Raw genomic sequence first — 20159 nt, forward strand, 5'->3', positions numbered from 1 at the left:
GGTGATGGCAGATCACAAACTCTTTGCTAATAAGGATTATAGTTTAGCCTCTCTGAAGGTCCCTTCCAGGACATAGCTTAGAGCAAGTGTCCTGTAAAACTTTCAGTTATTTGGCAATAAATCAAGGTAAAGGTTTTGCCACTGGGTATGATTTTATTGATTTATTTAACAAATGCTTGTTTAGTGTTTGTTCTGTGCCAGGTACTTTCCTAAATGTTTTACTAAATTTATTACTCCTAAATTTATTAACACCTCATTGATAATATCATGAAGTCAGTGCTATTATTATCCTTCTTTATAGAGGAGAAAACTGAGGGACAGAGAAGCTAAGTAACTTGTCCAAAGTCACCCAGCAAAGTAGGTGGCAGAGCTAGGGCTTGAAACCTGTTCATTGACTCTTAACCTCTGTACAGTGATACCCTGAGTAAATTGGTTCCCTCTCCTGGCATCAGTTCCCTTATCTGTAAAAGGACAGAGTGGACTGGGTGACTTTAAATATCTACCTTTTGAATGTTTATCATGTGCTGAGATGTTTCATACAGTTTCTTGTTTTATCACAACAACCCGAAGATGAAGTCTTAGTCTCATTTTACATTGCAGCAAACTGAGGCTCAGAGAGGTGAGGTAACATGCTGAGGTTTATATAGCTATGACAGCAGGAGGACATGAACCAGGTCTGGCTGGCTCCACTCAACCACTCTACCTGTCTCCTCTCAAAGACCTTTTCCAATGCTAATTTTGCATAAGTTGATTCATTCATTTACCAATCACGTATTCTGTCTCCTCACTGTATGAGGTGCTGGCTGGGTGCTGAGAGGCCATAGAATGAATTAGACCAGATGCTTCTATCAAGGACAATATTATTTGCAAACATGTCTTCTCTCCCCTTGATAGAATGAAATATAAAATAGAAGCAGCTCAGGGACAGGGAGGGGTTCAGACCTGTGTGATGGGGCTCAGAAGAAGGCTCGTCCTCCTGGTGGGGAGTTCAGGAAGGCATCCCTGAGAAAGCCACGCTCCCTATGGTTCACTTCAGTTTTTCCCACTTGCGATGATGCCGGCCAAACATTTGGTCTTTTGTGTTCTTTTCAGGATGGAGAAGGATGATGTAGCATTTGGAAAAGAAGAGGGAGGACATGAGGCCTCCTGCTGATGCCAAGATGACAAAGACCTCCATGGCCATGGTGTCTTTGCTGTGGGCATGCATGTGGGCAGGTATGAAGGACACCCAGACACAGGAGCAGACAACATGCTGAGAGTGATATGCTTTGCTTCATTGAAGGTGTCAGGCAGCCGGCAGGTGGGGAAGGTCACCAGCAAGCTGACCAGATCTAGCAAACTCAAGTAGCCCAGTTCCAAGAGAAGTTCCAAGGAGCCTTTATCACACTTTACAGTCACTGTGGGCCAGGGTTCTGTAGAGTTTCACAGGCTGAGGGGGCCATCTGGTCACCCAGAGTGCACACAAGGCTGCCTGGGTCAGGGAACAGTGAGGATGGTGCTGAGGAGGACTGTCCCCGCCCACCCCCTAAGCTGGGTGTCTGCCTGGGTGGCATGGAAGGCTGCCACCACCACGATGGTCTTGGCCAGCACAGTGGATGTGCAGACCATGAAGGTGACCCCAAAATCTGCCTGGTGCACAGCACAAGTGATGGGGTCTGGGTGGCCAATGAACATGAAGGGGCAGAGGAAGCTGAGGGCCAAGGAGGACAGCAGGAGATAGCTGAGCTGGCAGTTGTTGGCTCGGATGATGGGAGTGTGGTGGTGTCAGACGAAGATGCCTAAGATGGCCAGGGCAAGGAGAAAGAGCAGGGCTGTGCAGACAGCCAACGCTGTGTCAAGGGGCTTGTGATAGAACAAGAAGTCAAGGGTTTTGGGGATGCACTCGCCCTTCTGCACATTGGGCCACTGGTTGTCAGAGCACTTCTGACATGCAACACTATCTGAAGGGAGAAAGAGAAACTGGGTCAGACAACAGAGTGGGGAAGCTTTTGGAAATTTTTCCGTGGTCAAGCAGTTCTACAACTTGTGATGGCTTATCTAGCAGGCTTTGGTGCATTTCAGTCTCAATTGGATGGGCCTTCCAGATTGTCTGATGTCCTCGGATTCAGGGCCAAAGACACAGATGGCAGAAATCCTGACAGCAGCTGCTTATCATGCATCAGACTATCATGAAATAACACTGAGACAACCACCTATGGAAGCTCCAACTCCTGTCTAGGATCCCTTTAAATTGACCAACCATTGTGGTAATGTTGTAATTCATAGCCACAGCTAATTAATTTACAGATTTATTCAGGCATCAGCCAATTTAGTTTAAGGAATGTTTATGGAGTGCTTAGTATGTACACAGATTCTCTTTTTAAACCGTGCTACCCTTCTCTAAATAACAATATTAACAAAACTTAACAGTTTTGTATTCCATAGTGATTTTAAGGATGTATTTTGTGGCCTGAGCCCTGGAATAGTCATTTATTCTTATTTGATCTCTTTCCTGGATGGTAATGCCTAGGTTTTCTTCTAGGGTTTTTATGGTTTTAGGTCTAACGTTTAAGTCTTTAATCCATCTTGAATTAATTTTTGTATAAGGTGTAAGGAAGGGATCCAGGTTCAGCTTTCTACATATGGCTAGCCAGTTTTCCCAGCACCATTTATTAAATAGGGAATCCTTTCCCCATTGCTTGTTTTTCTCAGGTTTGTCAAAGATCAGATAGTTGTAGATATGCGGCGTTATTTCTGATGGCTCTGTTCCGTTCCATTGATCTATATCACTGTTTTGGTACCAGTACCATGCTGTTTTGGTGACTGTAGCCTTGTAGTATAGTTTGAAGTCAGGTAGTGTGATGCCTCCAGCTTTGTTCTTTTGGCTTAGGATTGACTTGGCGATGCGGGCTCTTTTTTGTTTCCATATGAACTTTCAAGTAGTTTTTTCCAATTCTGTGAAGAAAGTCATTGGTAGCTTGATGGGGATGGCATTGAATCTATAAATGACCTTGGGCAGTATGGCCATTTTCACGATATTGATTCTTCCTACCCATTAGCATGGAATGTTCTTCCATTCGTTTGTATCCTCTTTTATTTCCTTGAGCAGTGGTTTGTAGTTCTCCTTGAAGAGGTCCTTCACATCCCTTGTAAGTTGGATTCCTAGGTATTTTATTCTCTTTGAAGCAATTGTAAATGGGAGTTCACTCATGATTTGGCTCTCTGTTTGTCTGTTATTGGTGTGTGAGAATGCTTGTGATTTTTGTACATTGATTTTATATCCTGAGACTTTGCTGAAGTTGCTTATCAGCTTAAGGAGATTTTGGGCTGAGACAATGGGGTTTTCTAGATATACAATCATGTCGTCTGCAAATAGGGACAATTTGATCTCTTTCCTTGATTTGGATATATTTGTAGGGTCCTAGATACTTTGATTCCATGTCTTCCTAGTGTCTAAGTTCAAGGATTTCTCATTTGTGTCATCCTCTCTTCAGCACCTGGTGGTTCCTTCTCAGCTTCATTCGGTGGAAACTTTCTCTTCAAAAGGGCAAAAGGTATTTCCAAAGTCTCTACTTTCCCAGGGAGAGTTTTGAAGAGACTTCATCCAAACCTGTGGCTTCAACAATTACCTGGATTCTGAACCTGGTCTTCCTGCTCCAATCTCCCTCCTTTGTCTATTTGTCTATTCATTTCCCCAAGACACACACTGAAATACACATTGCTTTTATACTGAAGTAGTTCAGAGGCTCCTCCCCATTTTCTATAGAATAGAGTCCATGCTCCAGAGTCCAGCAGGTAAAGTCCTCTATGATCTGACCACCTGCTTCCTATATCTTGCATCACAATTGATGCTGAAACCACTCTCAGCTCCTTATTGCTTTCATGCCTTTACTATAATAACTTCCTCCTTGGCCTGGAATATCCTTATTATGCTTCATTGCCTTTGAAACCTTGCTTGTTGTTTAAGGCCTGTGTCACATGCCACCCCTTGCATTGCCAAGTCTCCCTGCCTATTTGTTAGAATTAATTGTTCCAACGTGCTTTCACAGCTCGATGCTTGAATATTTATTTATTTATTACAGTATTGACTTCACTTTATAGTCTAGTTTCTTTATTGAGAGATGAGCTGTGCTAGGTGTAGGGGTCCAGTATCATTCTCTTTTAATATATCCTGAGCTCTGTGGGTCCAGGACCATGGCTTATTTGTTGTTGGTACCCTTGCACCCAGCACAGTGGTTGTATATGGTTGGTGCCAGTTGATATCTGTTGAATGAATGACATCTTAGTAAAATAAAGATTATGTCATTAGGGTAATTCTTTTTAAACATTTATGAAATGCCTACCATATGGCAAATGTTAAACTAAGTACAGGATTTGAACAAACTCATGGTTGATAAAAGAAAGAATGAATTTAATAGCCTCAAATGGCTTTAATGTAGCATCTAGGAAGGTCACATTGACATCTTCTTTTTGGTCTCGACTTCCCTGGACTTTTCCATTGAAGGAATTTCCTTGATGTGGACACAGCTTTCATCTGAAGTCTACTCTGGCTGATGGCTGGCCACCCTCTGACCAAGAACCAGCCTCCCTCCTTACCTGGTGACATTGCGATTTCTCTTCTGGGTCAGGGAAGGCTTTTGTAGCAGCATTTTGACTTCTCAAATAGGGTTGACTTCCTGGTTTCCACAGGACGTTTTTCGTTGCAGACAGAGGAAGGGACCTACACACAAGAGGTGGGAGAGTGGAGGGGAGAGAGTGCTGGGGAGACTGCAGGGGGAATTGAGCGACATCTGTGCAGTCAGGTCGTGGAGGAATAAGCCTCATCGTTTTCACTTACTAGGTCCCTCTCTCTCTTTCTTTCTCTTACTCCTTCCTTTATTAAACCCCTCTTTATCACGTTTTCCTTTTCTACTCTCTTTCATTTTCCTCTTTCTCCATTTCTTGCTCAGATAATTAAAAATGTGTTCCGTATATCAGGTACTGTACAGGGTGTTAGGGAAACAGTGATAGGTAAGAATAAGCTCTTCCGGATTTCGAGTGTGGTGGGAAAACAAGACATCTTGATGGTTGGAATTCTGGTTCTGCCCTTTATGGTTTGCGTGCCTTGGGCTTAACATCTCTAAGCTTCAGATTCCTCTTCAATAAAATGGAGATATAGATGGGGCATCCCTAATTTGAAAATCTGAAATCTGGAATGCTCCAAAATCCAAAACTTTTTGAGTGCCAACATGATGCCTCAAGTGGAAAATTCCACACCTGACTTGACATAAACAAACTTTGTTTCATGCATGATATAGTTAAAAATATTGTAAAAAATTACCTTCAGACTATGTGTATAAGTGGTATATGAAACATAAATGAATTTCATATTTAGACTTGGATCCTATCCCCAAGATATTTCCTTATGCATATGCAAATATTTCAAAATCTGAAAAAATCTGAAATCCAAAACACTTCTGGTCCCAAGCAATTCGGATAAGGGATACTCAAGTTGTAGTAATAATATGTATTTTTTGTTTGTTTGTTTTTTTGAGACAGGACCTCACTCTGTCACCCAGGCTGGAGTTCAGTGGCACAATCTTGGCTCACTGCAACCTCCGCCTCCCGGGTTCAAGCGATTCTCCTGCCTCAGCCTCCCAAGTAGCTGGGATTACAGATGCGTGCCACTACCGCCGGGCCAATTTTTGTATTTTTAGTAGAGACAGGGTTTCACCATATTGGCCAGGCTGGTCTCGAACTCCTGACCTCAAATGATCCATCTGTCTTGGCCTCCAAAAGTGCTGAGATCACAGACGTGAGCCACCACGCCTGGCCATAATGATATGTGCTTTGAAGGTGGTGTTGGGATTAAATAAGACAATGTAAGTGAAGTCCATATCATAGTGACCAGAATCATGAGTGCATGACAAGTGCTAGTGAGCTGGGATCATATTCCGAAGTGTTAACTGAAGAGTCTGTCTTTCACTCTAGGCTCATCAAATCCCTTTGTTTATATTTAAGGGACTAATTTTCCCCTAGCCCCAACAGAACTGGGTCATCCACAGTGAATCAGAAACAAAGACTACAAACACTACCTAAGCCTCAGCACCACTCTAGGGTTCCTTGAGTCCAGGGTGTCTAAACCTCAGCACTACTGACACAGGGGCTGGATAATTCTTTGTTATGGAGAACTGTCCTGTGCATCTTAGGGCATTTAGCAGCAACCTTGGCCCCTGCCCCACTGGATGCCAGCAGCACTCCCTCAAGTTGTGACAACCAAAACTGTCTCCATACATTGTCATTGTCCCATGAGAGGCAAAATCACTCCAAGTTGGGAGCAACTGAGATTCAGATCATGCTTGCAGAATGAATTTCCTTAGAAAGGTCTGATGCATGGATTCTGTGGTCTGAGGAAGGAGAAGCAAGAGAGAAGATAAGTACCTGGGCTGCGAGATACCTGAAACAGTACTGAGTGAAGATCTCAACAGGTGGGGTCAGCCCCTTGCCTGTGGGGCGACAATGCTAATTTCTTCCCTGGAACTCTATTCTGCTTCCTTGTTCATAAGCAACTTTGTTCCCTCCTCTCAGGGTGGGATGATTTGGACATTGAGGTGTGATAGTCATGGGAATAAAAAACCATATGCCTGACTAAGGTGAGACCAGTGGGAACAAGTTTGAAATCACGGAGAAAAGAGATAGAACGTATTATAGAACATATTATACCAGTTATAGTCATTTTCTTACTCTTATCATAGAGGTATGTGAAAAATGCTATTGTTGCTCAGTGAAGGGAGTGTTTAACCCTGCCTACACAAGTTAAAGGAAACTGCAGGAGGCATGATGATAGTTGAGATGTAACTGCACTTAAATTAGAATTTCTCAGCTGATCGTGGTGGCTCACACCTGTAATTCCAGCACTTTGGGAGGCTGAGGCGGGTGGATCGTCTGAGGTCAGGAGTTTGAGACCGACCTGGCCAACATGGTGAAACCCCGTCTCTACTAAAAATACAAAAAGTTAGCTGGGCGTGGTAGTGGGTGCATGTAATCCCAGCTACTCTGGAGGCTGAGGCAGGAGAATCACTTGAACCTGGGAGGCAGAGGTTGCAGTGAGCTGAGATCACGCCATTGCATTCCAGCCTGGGCAACAAGAGGGAAACTCCATCTTAAAAAAAAAGAAAAAAAAAGAATTTCTCCCTCTGGTGACCTTAGATACTTAGGGGTCTGGGAAAGGACTAATGGGATTCCATGGGTTATTTTCCACTGCTTAAAAAAGCTCAGCATCGATTGCCTATTTCTTGACATAAGTCTGCAAGGCTAAATCAGTAGTATCTCTAGGTATCTGGAGTTGACCATCTCAGGGTAAACTTGAATTGACAATTGTATCTAATTTGTTTTCCCATTTGCTCATTAGTTATCTTTGCCTTTAGCAAGGTCCCTAATTTTGGGAGCCAGGGAGTTTGGAAGGTTTTATTTACTGAACAGCCTCAAAGTTGTGTAAGTCAATAATCCACCCCTTTTTGACCCAGTATCCTAAGTGAGTTCAATATGACAAATACTCCTGGAGCTTGGGATGTGAGAGGTGCTGTGTGGTCTTGGTTCTTAGGGTTCTCTCAGCTCTAATCTTTAAGGGTCCTTCTGCCCAGACAATTGCGCTGTCATCCAACAGAAGCTCTTTTCCAGAAGGTGCTCTGAAGTCAAAGTGTCCAACAATGGCTGTCTGTCCTGACAGGTCTGGGAGAACATAGATGTTTTTAATGTCAAACGTTGTCAGCACTTCCCCATCTTTGGCGAAGAAAACCTCTTCTTGGGCTTTGGTGGTGAAGTTAACCTTTCAGGCATAATGGAGCACCTGAAAGAGGGATGGAAGATAACAGTAAAAAATTGATTAAGAGCAGCTGGGCACAGTCACTCATACCTGTAATCCCAGCACTTTGGGAGGCAGAGGCAGGCAGATCACGGGGTCAGGAGTTTCAGACCAGCCTGGCCAACATGGTGAAACCTCATCTCTACTAATGATACAAAAAAAAAAAAAAAAATTAGCTTGCCGTGATGGTGGGCACAAGTAATCTCAGCTACTCAGGAGGCTGAGGCAGAAGAATCGCTTGAACTCAGAAGGCGGAGGTTGCGGTGAGCCAAGATCTCACCACTGCACCCCAGCCTGGTGACAGAGAGAGACTCCGTCTCACATTAGGAGCCCTTCCTCCACATCACTGGACAGTTCTCCCATATCTATGCTTGTTTGTGCCTTGGAGGGAGGCATCTTATCTCTGCACACTTTATGAAAAAAGAGCTCTGTTTTCTCATGTTCCAAGTTTGTGTTAATCTATAGGGGCCAGGGTAGGGAAGTGAAAGACAAGATAATGGGGATCTGAAACACTAGATCTTGCCTAAGACTGCTTCACAGATAGGCTGGTCTTATGAATAGGAACCTATCCAGTTTTTTACAATCCATCCATACGAATTACTTAGCATCCTTCTTTGTGCCAGTTAGGATTGGTACCTAGGATAGAAAAACTCAGTCCTGCCTTCAAGGCACAAAGAAGTGTGGCTGATAAAAAAATGTGTTTTGACTAAAAGCAGATATGGATTTGCGAATTACCCTGATTTGATCATTACATATTGTATACATGTACTGAAATATCACACTGTATCTCATGAATATGAATGATTATTTCAATATATCAATTAGGCTGGCCATGGTGGCTCACGCCTGTAATCCCAGCACTTTAGCAGGCCGAGATCAGGAGTTTGAGACCAGCGTGGCCAACATGGTGAAACCCCACCTCTACTAAAAATACAAAAAAAAAAAAAAAAATAGCCGGGCATGGTGGCACATGCTGTAGCCCCAGCTACTTGGGAGGCTGAGACAGAAGAATTGCTTGAACCCTTGAACTCAGGAGGTGGAGGTTGCAGTCAGCTGAGATCGCACCACTGCACTCCAGCCTGGGCAATAGAGCAAGGACTCCATCTTAAAAAAAAAAATATATATATATATATTTTTTAGCAAGACTAATAAAAAAAGAGAGAAGAATCAAATAGACACAATAAAAAATGATAAAGGGGATATCACCACCGATCCCACAGAAATACAAACTGCCATCAGAGAATACTACAAACACCTCTACGCAAATAAACTAGAAAATCTAGAAGAAATGGATACATTCCTCGACACATACACTCTCCCAAGACTAAACCAGGAAGAAGTTGAATCTCTGAATAGACCAATAACAGGCTCTGAAATTGTGGCAATAATCAATAGTTTACCAACCAAAAAGAGTCCAGGACCAGATGGATTCACAGCCGAATTCTACCAGAGGTACAAGGAGGAACTGGTACCATTCCTTCTGAAACTATTCCAATCAATAGAAAAAGAGGGAATCCTCCCTAACTCATTTTATGAGGCCAGCATCATTCTGATACCAAAGCCGGGCAGAGACACAACCAAAAAAGAGAATTTTAGACCAATATCCTTGATGAACATTGATGCAAAAATCCTCAATAAAATACTGGCAAACCGAATCCAGCAGCACATCAAAAAGCTTATCCACCATGATCAAGTGGGCTTCATCCCTGGGATGCAAGGCTGGTTCAATATACGCAAATCAATAAATGTAATCCAGCATATAAACAGAGCCAAAGACAAAAACCACATGATTATCTCAATAGATGCAGAAAAAGCCTTTGACAAAATTCAACAACCCTTCATGCTAAAAACTCTCAATAAATTAGGTATTGATGGGACGTATTTCAAAATAATAAGAGCTATCTATGACAAACCCACAGCCAATATTATACTGAATGGGCAAAAACTGGAAGCATTCCCTTTGAAAACTGGCACAAGACAGGGATGCCCTCTCTCACCACTCCTATTCAACATAGTGTTGGAAGTTCTGGCCAGGGCAATCAGGCAGGAGAAGGAAATAAAGGGTATTCAATTAGGAAAAGAGAAAGTCAAATTGTCCCTGTTTGCAGACGACATGATTGTTTATCTAGAAAACCCCATCGTCTCAGCCCAAAATCTCCTTAAGCTGATAAGCAACTTCAGCAAAGTCTCAGGATACAAAATCAATGTACAAAAATCACAAGCATTCTTATACACCAACAACAGACAAACAGAGAGCCAAATCATGAGTGAACTCCCATTCACAATTGCTTCAAAGAGAATAAAATACCTAGGAATCCAACTTACAAGGGATGTGAAGGACCTCTTCAAGGAGAACTACAAACCACTGCTCAAGGAAATAAAAGAGGACACAAACAAATGGAAGAACATTCCATGCTCATGGGTAGGAAGAATCAGTATCGTGAAAATGGCCATACTGCCCAAGGTAATTTACAGATTCAATGCCATCCCCATCAAGCTACCAATGACTTTCTTCACAGAATTGGAAAAAACTACTTTAAAGTTCATATGGAACCAAAAGAGAGCCCGCATCGCCAAGTCAATCCTAAGCCAAAAGAACAAAGCTGGAGGCATCACACTACCTGACTTCAAACTATACTACAAGGCTACAGTAACCAAAACAGCATGGTGCTGGTACCAAAACAGAGATATAGATCAATGGAACGGAACAGAGCCCTCAGAAATAATGCCGCATATCTACAACTATCTGATCTTTGACAAACCTGAGAAAAACAAGCAATGGGGAAAGGATTCCCTATTTAATAAATGGTGCTGGGAAAACTGGCTAGCGATATGTAGAAAGCTGAAACTGGATCCCTTCCTTACACCTTATACAAAAATCAATTCAAGATGGATTAAAGATTTAAACGTTAGACCTAAAACCATAAAAACCCTAGAAGAAAACCTAGGCATTACCATTCAGGACATAGGCGTGGGCAAGGACTTCATGTCCAAAACACCAAAAGCAATGGCAACAAAAGCCAAAATTGACAAATGGGATCTAATTAAACTAAAGAGCTTCTGCACAGCAAAAGAAACTACCGTCAGAGTGAACAGGCAACCTACAACATGGTAGAAAATTTTCGCAACCTACTCATCTGACAAAGGGCTAACATCCAGAATCTACAATGAACTCAAACAAATTTACAAGAAAAAAACAAACAACCCCATCAAAAAGTGGGTGAAGGACATGAACAGACACTTCTCAAAAGAAGACATTTATGCAGCCAAAAAACACATGAAAAAATGCTCATCATCACTGGCCATCAGAGAAATGCAAATCAAAACCACTATGAGATATCATCTCACACCAGTTAGAATGGCAATCATTAAAAAGTCAGGAAACAACAGGTGCTGGAGAGGATGTGGAGAAATAGGAACACTTTTACACTGTTGGTGGGACTGTAAACTAGTTCAACCATTGTGGAAGTCAGTGTGGCGATTCCTCAGGGATCTAGAACTAGAAATACCATTTGACCCAGCCATCCCATTACTGGGTATATACCCAAATGACTATAAATCATGCTGCTATAAAGACACATGCACACGTATGTTTATTGCGGCATTATTCACAATAGCAAAGACTTGGAACCAAATGTCCAACAATGATAGACTGGATTAAGAAAATGTGGCACATATACACCATGGAATACTATGCAGCCATAAAAAATGATGAGTTCATGTCCTTTGTAGGGACATGGATGAAATTGGAAACCATCATTCTCAGTAAACTATCGCAAGAACAAAAAACCAAACACCGCATATTCTCACTCATAGGTGGGAATTGAACAATGAGATCACATGGACACAGGAAGGGGAATATCACACTCTGGGGACTGTGGTGGGGTCGGGGGAGAGGGGAGGGATAGCATTGGGAGATATACCTAATGCTAGATGACGAGTTAGTGGGTGCAGCGCACCAGCATGGCACATGTATATATATGTAACTAACCTGCACAATGTGCACATGTACCCTAAAACTTAAAGTATAATAATAATAAAAAAAAAGAAAAAAAGGAAAAAAAAAAAAAAAAGAAACTACCATCAGAGTGAACAAGCAACCTACAAAATGGGAGAAAATTTTCACAACCTACTCATCTGACAAAGGGCTAATATCCAGAATCTACAATGAACTCAAACAAATTTAGGAGAAAAAAACAAACAACCCCATCAAATAGTGGGCGAAGGACATGAACAGACACTTCTCAAAAGAAGACATTTATGCAGCCAAAAAACACATGAAAAAATGCTCATCATCACTGGCCATCAGAGAAATGCAAATCAAAACCACTATGAGATATCATCTCACACCAGTTAGAATGGCAATCATTAAAAAGTCAGGAAACAACAGGTGCTGGAGAGGATGTGGAGAAATAGGAACACTTTTACACTGTTGGTGGGACTGTAAACTAGTTCAACCATTGTGGAAGTCAGTGTGGCGATTCCTCAGGGATCTAGAACTAGAAATACCATTTGACCCAGCCATCCCATTACTGGGTATATACCCAAATGACTATAAATCATGCTGCTATAAAGACACATGCACACGTATGTTTATTGCGGCATTATTCACAATAGCAAAGACTTGGAACCAAATGTCCAACAATGATAGACTGGATTAAGAAAATGTGGCACATATACACCATGGAATACTATGCAGCCATAAAAAATGATGAGTTCATGTCCTTTGTAGGGACATGGATGAAATTGGAAACCATCATTCTCAGTAAACTATCGCAAGAACAAAAAACCAAACACCGCATATTCTCACTCATAGGTGGGAATTGAACAATGAGATCACATGGACACAGGAAGGGGAATATCACACTCTGGGGACTGTGGTGGGGTCGGGGGAGGGGGGAGGGATAGCATTGGGAGATATACCTAATGCTAGATGACGAGTTAGTGGGTGCAGCGCACCAGCATGGCACATGTATATATATGTAACTAACCTGCACAATGTGCACATGTACCCTAAAACTTAAAGTATAATAATAATAAAAAAAAAGAAAAAAAGGAAAAAAAAAAAAAAAAGAAACTACCATCAGAGTGAACAAGCAACCTACAAAATGGGAGAAAATTTTCACAACCTACTCATCTGACAAAGGGCTAATATCCAGAATCTACAATGAACTCAAACAAATTTAGGAGAAAAAAACAAACAACCCCATCAAATAGTGGGCGAAGGACATGAACAGACACTTCTCAAAAGAAGACATTTATGCAGCCAAAAAACACATGAAAAAATGCTCACCATCACTGGCCATCAGAGAAATGCAAATCAAAACCACAATGAGATACCATCTCACACTAGTTAGAATGGCAATCATTAAAAAGTCAGGAAACAACAGGTGCTGGAGAGGATGTGGAGAAATAGGAACACTTTTACACTGTTGGTGGGCCTGTAAACTAGTTCAACCATTGTGGAAGTCAGTGTGGCGATTCCTCAGGGATCTAGAACTAGAAATACCATTTGACCCAGCTATCCCATTACTGGGTATATACCCAAAGGACTATAAATCATGCTGCTATAAAGACACATGCACACGTATGCTATTGTGGCACTATTCACAATAGCAAAGACTTGGAACCAACCCAAATGTCCAACAATGATAGACTGGATTAAGAAAATGTGGCACATATTCACCGTGGAATACTATGTAGCCATAAAAAATGATGAGTTCATGTACTTTGCAGGGACATGGATGAAATTGGAAATCATCATTCTCAGTAAACTATCGCAAGGACAAAAAACCAAACACCACATGTTCTCACTCATAGGTGGGAATTGAACAATGAGAACACATGGACACAGGAAGGGGCACATCACACTCTGGGGCCTGTTGTGGGGTGGGGGGAGGGGGGAGGGATAGCATTAGGAGATATACCTAATGCTAAATGACGAGTTAATGGGTGCAGCACACCAGCATGGCACATGTATACATATGTCACTAACCTGCACATTGTGCACATGTACCCTAAAACTTAAAGTATAATAATAAAATTAAAAAATATATATATATATAAAATATATATATATATAAATTATATATATATAAAATATATATATAAAATAAAAATATTTAATTCACAGTAAAGCGGATATAAACTAAGAAGTATCTTTTCAGTGTATTCTAACTCTTCATGGCTGAGACACTCTTGGATTATGTGACTATCAAAACCCTGTCAACATTCTTTTTCGGAACAGCTTAAAAAGCAGAAAAGGGAGTTTGCACCAATATTTCCCCATCTCCTTCATCCTCCATCCCCCATCCCAACCACCAGTTCTGGGGATCTAATATCCACCATAGTGACTGTAGTTAATAATACAGTATTGTTTACTTGAAATTTGATAAGAAAGCAGATTTTGAGTGTCCTTATTTCCCCTCACCCTCCCACACAAATGGTGACTATGGGTGGTGATGGATGTGTTAATTAGTTTTATTATGGTAACCATTACACAATGTATATGCCTATCAAATCATCACATTGTGCCCCATGAATACATACAATTTTTATTTGTTAATTATACCTGAATAAAGCTGAAAAAGAAATAGTAGAAAAAGGAAGATAAGCAGAGTGCCTTCAGGAATCCCTCTAGTGACTTTAGATCCAGTGGTTTGATCTTCAAACATCTTTGGAAAAGGTGGGATTGGCTTTGATTTTGTAATTAGGAAAAGAGGTGGTCATCTTTTCCAGAAACCTGGAACTCTTTAAGAAGACATTTGAGGTTCTTTATAATAGAGCTCCTACCCGCCTTTCCAACCTTTCCTTCTACTGTTCTTTTCCATTGGCCATCCCATGCTTTGAATTAGCTATATCACTTTCCCACTCCTGCAAGTGCCATTTTTACCAATACCAATACCAATATTTTTGCATATTTATTACTCTTTCAACTACAATATAAACATCTTGAGGCAAGCACACATTTTGTACATTTCTGTATCCCTCATTACTCCAAGTGCATGAAAATACTTGTGCTTAGTATGTAAAGTGCATGAAAATACAAGTGCTTAGTAAATACTTGTGGCATAAAAATGCATGCGTTGAGGCCAGGTGTGGCGGCTCATGCCTGTGATCCCAGGCCGAGGTGGGCGGATCACTTGAGGTCAGAAGTTTTGAGACCAGCCTGGGCAACATGGTAAAACCCCATCTCTACTAAAAATACAAAAATTCGCCAGGCATGGTGGTGCGTGCCTGAAGTCCCAGTTACTTGGGAGGCTGAGGCAGAAGAATCACTTGAACCCAGGAGGTGGAGGTTGCAGTGAGCCAAGATCGCACCACTGCACTCCAGCCTGGGCGACAGAGCAAGACTTTGTCTCAAACAACAACAAGAACAACAAAACACAATTATTTTTGCACCAGTCAAATATATGTGTGTGTGTTGAACTGGGCTATGAAAATTCATAAGAACTAGAGGATGAAGTTTGAGCAAATGACTTGGTTGGGAGGAACTGGTTCTAGAGTCCTGAGCCAAGATTCCTGGTGACATTCCTCACTCTATCTGAATCAGTGATGTGACTTTGTAGATCTTGCTCTTTGTAGATCTTAACCTTCTCATCTGTAAAAAGGGGACCTACACCATAGGATTATCTTGAAAATTAAATGCATTAATACATAAAAGTGCTTAGCATATAACTCAACATAAAAAACACTAAAAAGGTGTTTACTGTTATTTTTCTTAGAGCCCTTAAGAACTTATACTACATAAGCACCGATGAAATTACCTAAAAGCCTTCTTAAAGAAGCTGAGCCTAGTTTGAAGATCTTTGCTATGGTTTGGATGTTTGTGTCTCCTCTAAAATTCATGTTGAAACTTAATTATCATTGTGGTGGTACTAAGAGGTGGGGCAGTTTCAGAGGTGATTAAGTCACCCTTATGAATGAATTAGTTCTTTGTAAAAGGGCTGGAGGAGGCTGGATGTGGTGGCTTACGTCTGTAATCCCAGCACTTTGGGAGGCTGAGGCAGAAGGATCACTTGAGACCAGGAGTTTGAGACTAGTCTGGGCACCATAGTGAAACCCCATGTTTGCAGAAAATACAAAAATGTAGCCAGGCATGGTGGCATGTGCCTGTAGTCCCAGCTACTCAGGAGGCTGAGGTAGGAGGATTGCCTGAGCCTGGGAGGTAGAGGCTGCAGTGAGCCATGATCGTACCACTGTACTCCAGCCTGGGCAACCGAGCGAGACTCTATCTCTAAAAAAAAAAAAATGCTGGAGGCAACTACTAACTTAGGCCCCTTTTGCCCTTCTACCTTCTATCTTCAGCCATGTAAGCACCAAGAAGACCCTTACCAGACACTGCATGCTGGTGCCTTGATCTTGGACTTCCCAGCCTCCTGAACTGTAAGCAATATATTTCTATTATTTATAAGTTACCCAGTCTGTGCTACTTTGTTATAGCAGCACAAATGGACTAAGACAACCTTCTTTTAATATTAAAAGGATTTTTGCTCTACTTTGACTTTATTTCTAAAACTTTGCATGGCTATTTGCAATATGTACTTAATGTTTAACAACTGGCTCTCTAAGAAAGGAAGCCAGTCTTTTTGGTGTTTGCTGATTTCCCTGGTGTAAATACTCCCACTATGGCTAGATTGAAGCTACCAGTGGTTTAACAATGACTTGCACAATTCCTGAAAATTTAACAGTTGACCTTCGCTGTCAGAGCCAGTTCTCTCTGTTGGACCTAGACCTCTGGTATCTTTAATAAGAGTCTTATGAATGCTATTAAGAGGCAGCTGTCATCATCTCCCTTCCTTCTGCTGGAGATTTTCTAGTCCACAGGTAGGCAAACTACTGCCTGTAGACTAAAGTTAGTCTGGCACCTGTTTTTCTGTGTGATGTGTGAATTAATAATGACTTTTACATTTTTAAGTAGTTGAAAAAAATTAAAAGAAGAGTAATACTTTATGATATATGGAAAATACATGAAACTCCTATTTCAGTGTTCATAAATAAAGTTTTGTTGAACACAGTCAGATTGATTTGTTTGTGGATTTTCTATGGCTGCATTTGCACTACAACAGCAGAGTTGAGTAGTTGTGATAGAGGCTGCATGGTTTGAAAATCTGAAAACATTTACTATCTGGCTCTTTACTGAGAAAATTTTTGACCCCTTATCTAGTCCATTAGTTGCTACTTTTCAAGAAAAATCTTATGCTTCACACTAATATATTAGGCAGAGAAAATAGAGCATCTCTGGTTGGTGTAGGCAGCTATGGGGTCCAGAGCCCCATCCCCAAGCCTCTCACTGCCTGAAGAAGTGTTCCATCAGTGGGGGCACCTAAGGCTCCCTGTAGAACTCTAAGGCTCCAAGAAGCACACTGTAAAAATTACTGATCTGTACCCACTTTCCTAAGGCTTCCATGGTTATACAATTCAGGTTTTTTTTTTTTTTTTTTTTTTTTTGAGATGGAGTCTCACTCTGTCACCCAAGCTGGAGTGCAGTGGTGCCATCTTGGCTCACTGCAACCCTGCCTCCCAGGTTCAAGTGATTCTCATGCCTCAGCCTCCTGAGTAGCTGGGACTATAGACAACGCCATTACACCTGGTTAATTTTTGTATTTTTAGTAGAGACAGAGTTTTACCATGTTGGCCAGGCTGGTCTTGAACTCCTGACGCTAAGTGATCCACCTGCTTCCCAAAGTGCTGGGATTACAGGTATGAGCCACTGTGCCCAGCCCAAGGTCTTTTTGATTAAAGTACCTAATGACCAGAGAGGAAAAAAGACCTCGAACACAGAGAAGGCTGATGACTAGGCCAAGCACTCAGACTCAGCTCTTCCTCTAGCTGAAAACCTAGTGTTCTTCTCTTGGTGTTGTTGGTTGAGGCCTTTGTCCTCTGAACTCTATTTCATCTCTTTGAGCTTGTTCTAGCATTACCTCTCTGACTACGAGGAAAACACCACCTCCCTTCCCTTCCTGTCCTTATCCCTGAGCAGCCCATGAAGAATGGGTGTCTGTGCTGGATTGGATGTTTTACATTGCAGATTTACCAGTTTTCTAACTTTGTGGTTAACTCTTTCCTACTGTGAATCTCATATGGTTTTTGTTGCATATCAGCATTGGCATGTAGTGACCTGGATGGCAGGACAGCTGTGTTCTCTTCCAGCTCTGCCTCCCCTTTTTGGTGATCTCCCTGCTTCGTGCTGGACCAGCAGATTTCTAAGGCCCTTGGCAGTTTTGATGTCATCACCATTATTAGCAGCAGCGTCACACCACCTGGAGAAAAGCTGTAGCCCATAACATGCATTAATCACCAGCCAGCATTTGTATGCATGATCTCTTATTTTCATAACAACCTACCACGTATATATTATTATACTCAATCTACATAGGAGAGAACTGAAGCTCAGGAAAGGTAAGTGACTAGGCCGCAGAGAAATCCCATATTGAGATTTGAGCCCATATCACTTTTGTTCTAAATTTGATGCTCCTTTCATTAGGCCACACTGCCTCTCTGCTAGTCTAAAGCTCACAGAAAGCTGGAATGGACAGGGACTGGGAAAGGCTTCTTGGCCACTCACCTGAGAAAGCCTGGCTTCCCATGCATTGGCATACGTGCCTCCCAGGAATGGTCCCTCTCTCTCAGAGCAGGACATCAAGTTCTGATAGGCAACCCACAGGGCTTTGGCTGCCAGGTAGGCTTGGTAAGTGGCAGTTAGATCAGGAAGTTTGAAGGCAGACAGGTGGGCAGTGGTCATGTTCTCCAGCCCTGTGCGATGCCAAGCCCCTTCTCTGGCACTTTGGATGGAAGCCCCTAATCCAGACCACCTGTATCCCTGCACTCCTCCCACAGCTTCCTCATCAGACTGTTGCCTGGCTACACGGCTGGGCGCAGCGCCAACAGGAAGTCCTTAAAGGCAGGTATTATTCCTAAGTGTATGGTCAGGCTCAAGCTGCCATTCAGCAACTCGTGGGCTTTGGGACCCAGCACCGAGGGGTTATATGTGAAGGAGGTGGAAAAGATCCACATCCTCCCATTCACATTGTTCTCCTGAAGGGCCCCCGCCAGGAGTCTGAAGTGAAAATGGTAGCAGTCACAGACAATGACGGTGGCAGCAGGGGTTTAGGCAATGACGGTGGCCATGCTGTTGATGCTGTCATCTACACTGCTGATCTTTGAGAAGGCCATGCAGCCACCCTCGCCCCCGATCTGCTTCTGCAGCTGCTGATCCAGCCACTCAAAGTTGCTGTTGTCATAACTGACCAGGCCTACTCAGGTCCAGTTAAAGTAACTCAAGAGCTTGGCCAGGACTCAAGGCTGGTGGGTGCTGCTGGGCACTGTGCGGAGGAAGGATGGGAACTGGAAACAGTTGGAAAACTGGGGGCGCTGAGATCCATGGCTGATCTGGGGGAAAGGAACAGAGCTGTACATTCCTGGCCTGAACACACTTGCTCAGGATCCACAAATGTTCTCACCAGCCTTGTAACTTGGCCTCATTTTTCCCTCTCTGGCTTTTATTTCTAATTATTATCTCACTGGCCTTTGATATATGCTGTTTCCAGGTCCTTCGAAAGCCTGTGGGCTCAGGCCTAAGAAACCAACTGACGTTTTTAGAAAGGAATGCAGCGGACTAAAGAATGCCAACATATCTTCCAGTGGGGGTGGGAGAAGCAGAGAGGTAAAGATGTGCTAACGGCTTTGTTTCTCTCTATACATTGTATAATTCTTGGCATTATTTGAAAGATAAAGGCTCAAGTGAATTAAAAGCTGTATAATTGTTAATAGAATAAAAACAAGATATATAAATTCCAAAGCAGCAGAAGGAAAATAATTGGAAAAAATGATCAAATTAAAAAAAATTCAGGGCCGGGCACAGTGGCTCATGCCTGTAATCCCAGCACTTTGGGAGGCTGAGGCGGGCAGATCAATTGAGGTCAGGAGTTCGAGACCAGCCTGGCCAGCATGGTGAAACCCTGTCTCTACTAAAAGTACAAAAATTAGCCGGGTGTGGTGGCGCATGCCTGTAATTCCAGTTACTTGAGGCAGAAGAATTGCTTGAACCCGGGAGACAGAGGTTGCAGTGAGTCAAGATTGCACCACTGCACTCCTGCCTGGGTGACTGAGTGAGGCTCTGTCTCAAAAAAAAAAAAAAAAAAAAAAAAAAAAAGGAAAGGGAGAAAGCATAAGAACTAGAAAACTAAATAAAAATCTCTATTATTTCTATTATTATAGTTTTATTAACAGAAAGCAATGACCCAGCATAATAAATAGAAATTATATAAGATGGCAGAATACCATCAAACCATATCAGCAGTCAGCTTAAATGATAGGTTACATTACCCTACTTACG

At 42.2% G+C, this 20159-nt stretch overlaps 1 protein-coding gene, 1 long non-coding RNA gene and 1 pseudogene across 2 annotated transcripts in view, besides 3 other annotated features; 1 reads left to right on the forward strand and 2 right to left on the reverse strand.

Moving 5' to 3' along the window:
• The window catches only part of OR9Q1 (olfactory receptor family 9 subfamily Q member 1), a 157736-nt gene that overhangs the window by 15860 nt on the left and 121717 nt on the right, over positions 1–20159 (forward strand). The window contains exon 2 of the mRNA NM_001005212.4: positions 16130–16207. The gene's annotated coding sequence lies outside the window, so the exon portion shown is untranslated. The remainder of the gene's footprint in view (positions 1–16129; positions 16208–20159) is intronic.
• VN2R9P (vomeronasal 2 receptor 9, pseudogene) lies at positions 968–1920 on the reverse strand (annotated as a pseudogene).
• On the reverse strand, positions 7398–18195 carry LOC124902674 (uncharacterized). Its single transcript, XR_007062672.1, has 2 exons — positions 17943–18195; positions 7398–7807 (listed from the first exon to the last, which is right to left on the reverse strand). It is a non-coding gene; the product is annotated as an uncharacterized LOC124902674 (long non-coding RNA).
• Positions 18292–18972: an enhancer, noted in NCBI's record as "H3K27ac-H3K4me1 hESC enhancer chr11:57825504-57826184 (GRCh37/hg19 assembly coordinates)". NCBI's record gives its function as "activates a minimal SCP1, AML or CMV promoter by ChIP-STARR-seq in naive and primed H9 embryonic stem cells {active_cell/tissue: H9 hESC(naive and primed)}" and the evidence as "EXISTENCE:reporter gene assay evidence [ECO:0000049][PMID:30033119]".
• Positions 18973–19652: an enhancer, noted in NCBI's record as "H3K27ac-H3K4me1 hESC enhancer chr11:57826185-57826864 (GRCh37/hg19 assembly coordinates)". NCBI's record gives its function as "activates a minimal SCP1, AML or CMV promoter by ChIP-STARR-seq in naive H9 embryonic stem cells {active_cell/tissue: H9 hESC(naive)}" and the evidence as "EXISTENCE:reporter gene assay evidence [ECO:0000049][PMID:30033119]".
• Positions 19277–19571: a silencer, noted in NCBI's record as "tiled region #8721; K562 Repressive non-DNase unmatched - State 24:Quies". NCBI's record gives its function as "represses a minimal TATA promoter and a strong SV40 promoter by Sharpr-MPRA in K562 cells {active_cell/tissue: K562}" and the evidence as "EXISTENCE:reporter gene assay evidence [ECO:0000049][PMID:27701403]".

This window comes from Homo sapiens, chromosome 11, assembly GCF_000001405.40.
Source record: "Homo sapiens chromosome 11, GRCh38.p14 Primary Assembly".
Taxonomy (NCBI): domain Eukaryota; kingdom Metazoa; phylum Chordata; class Mammalia; order Primates; family Hominidae; genus Homo; species Homo sapiens.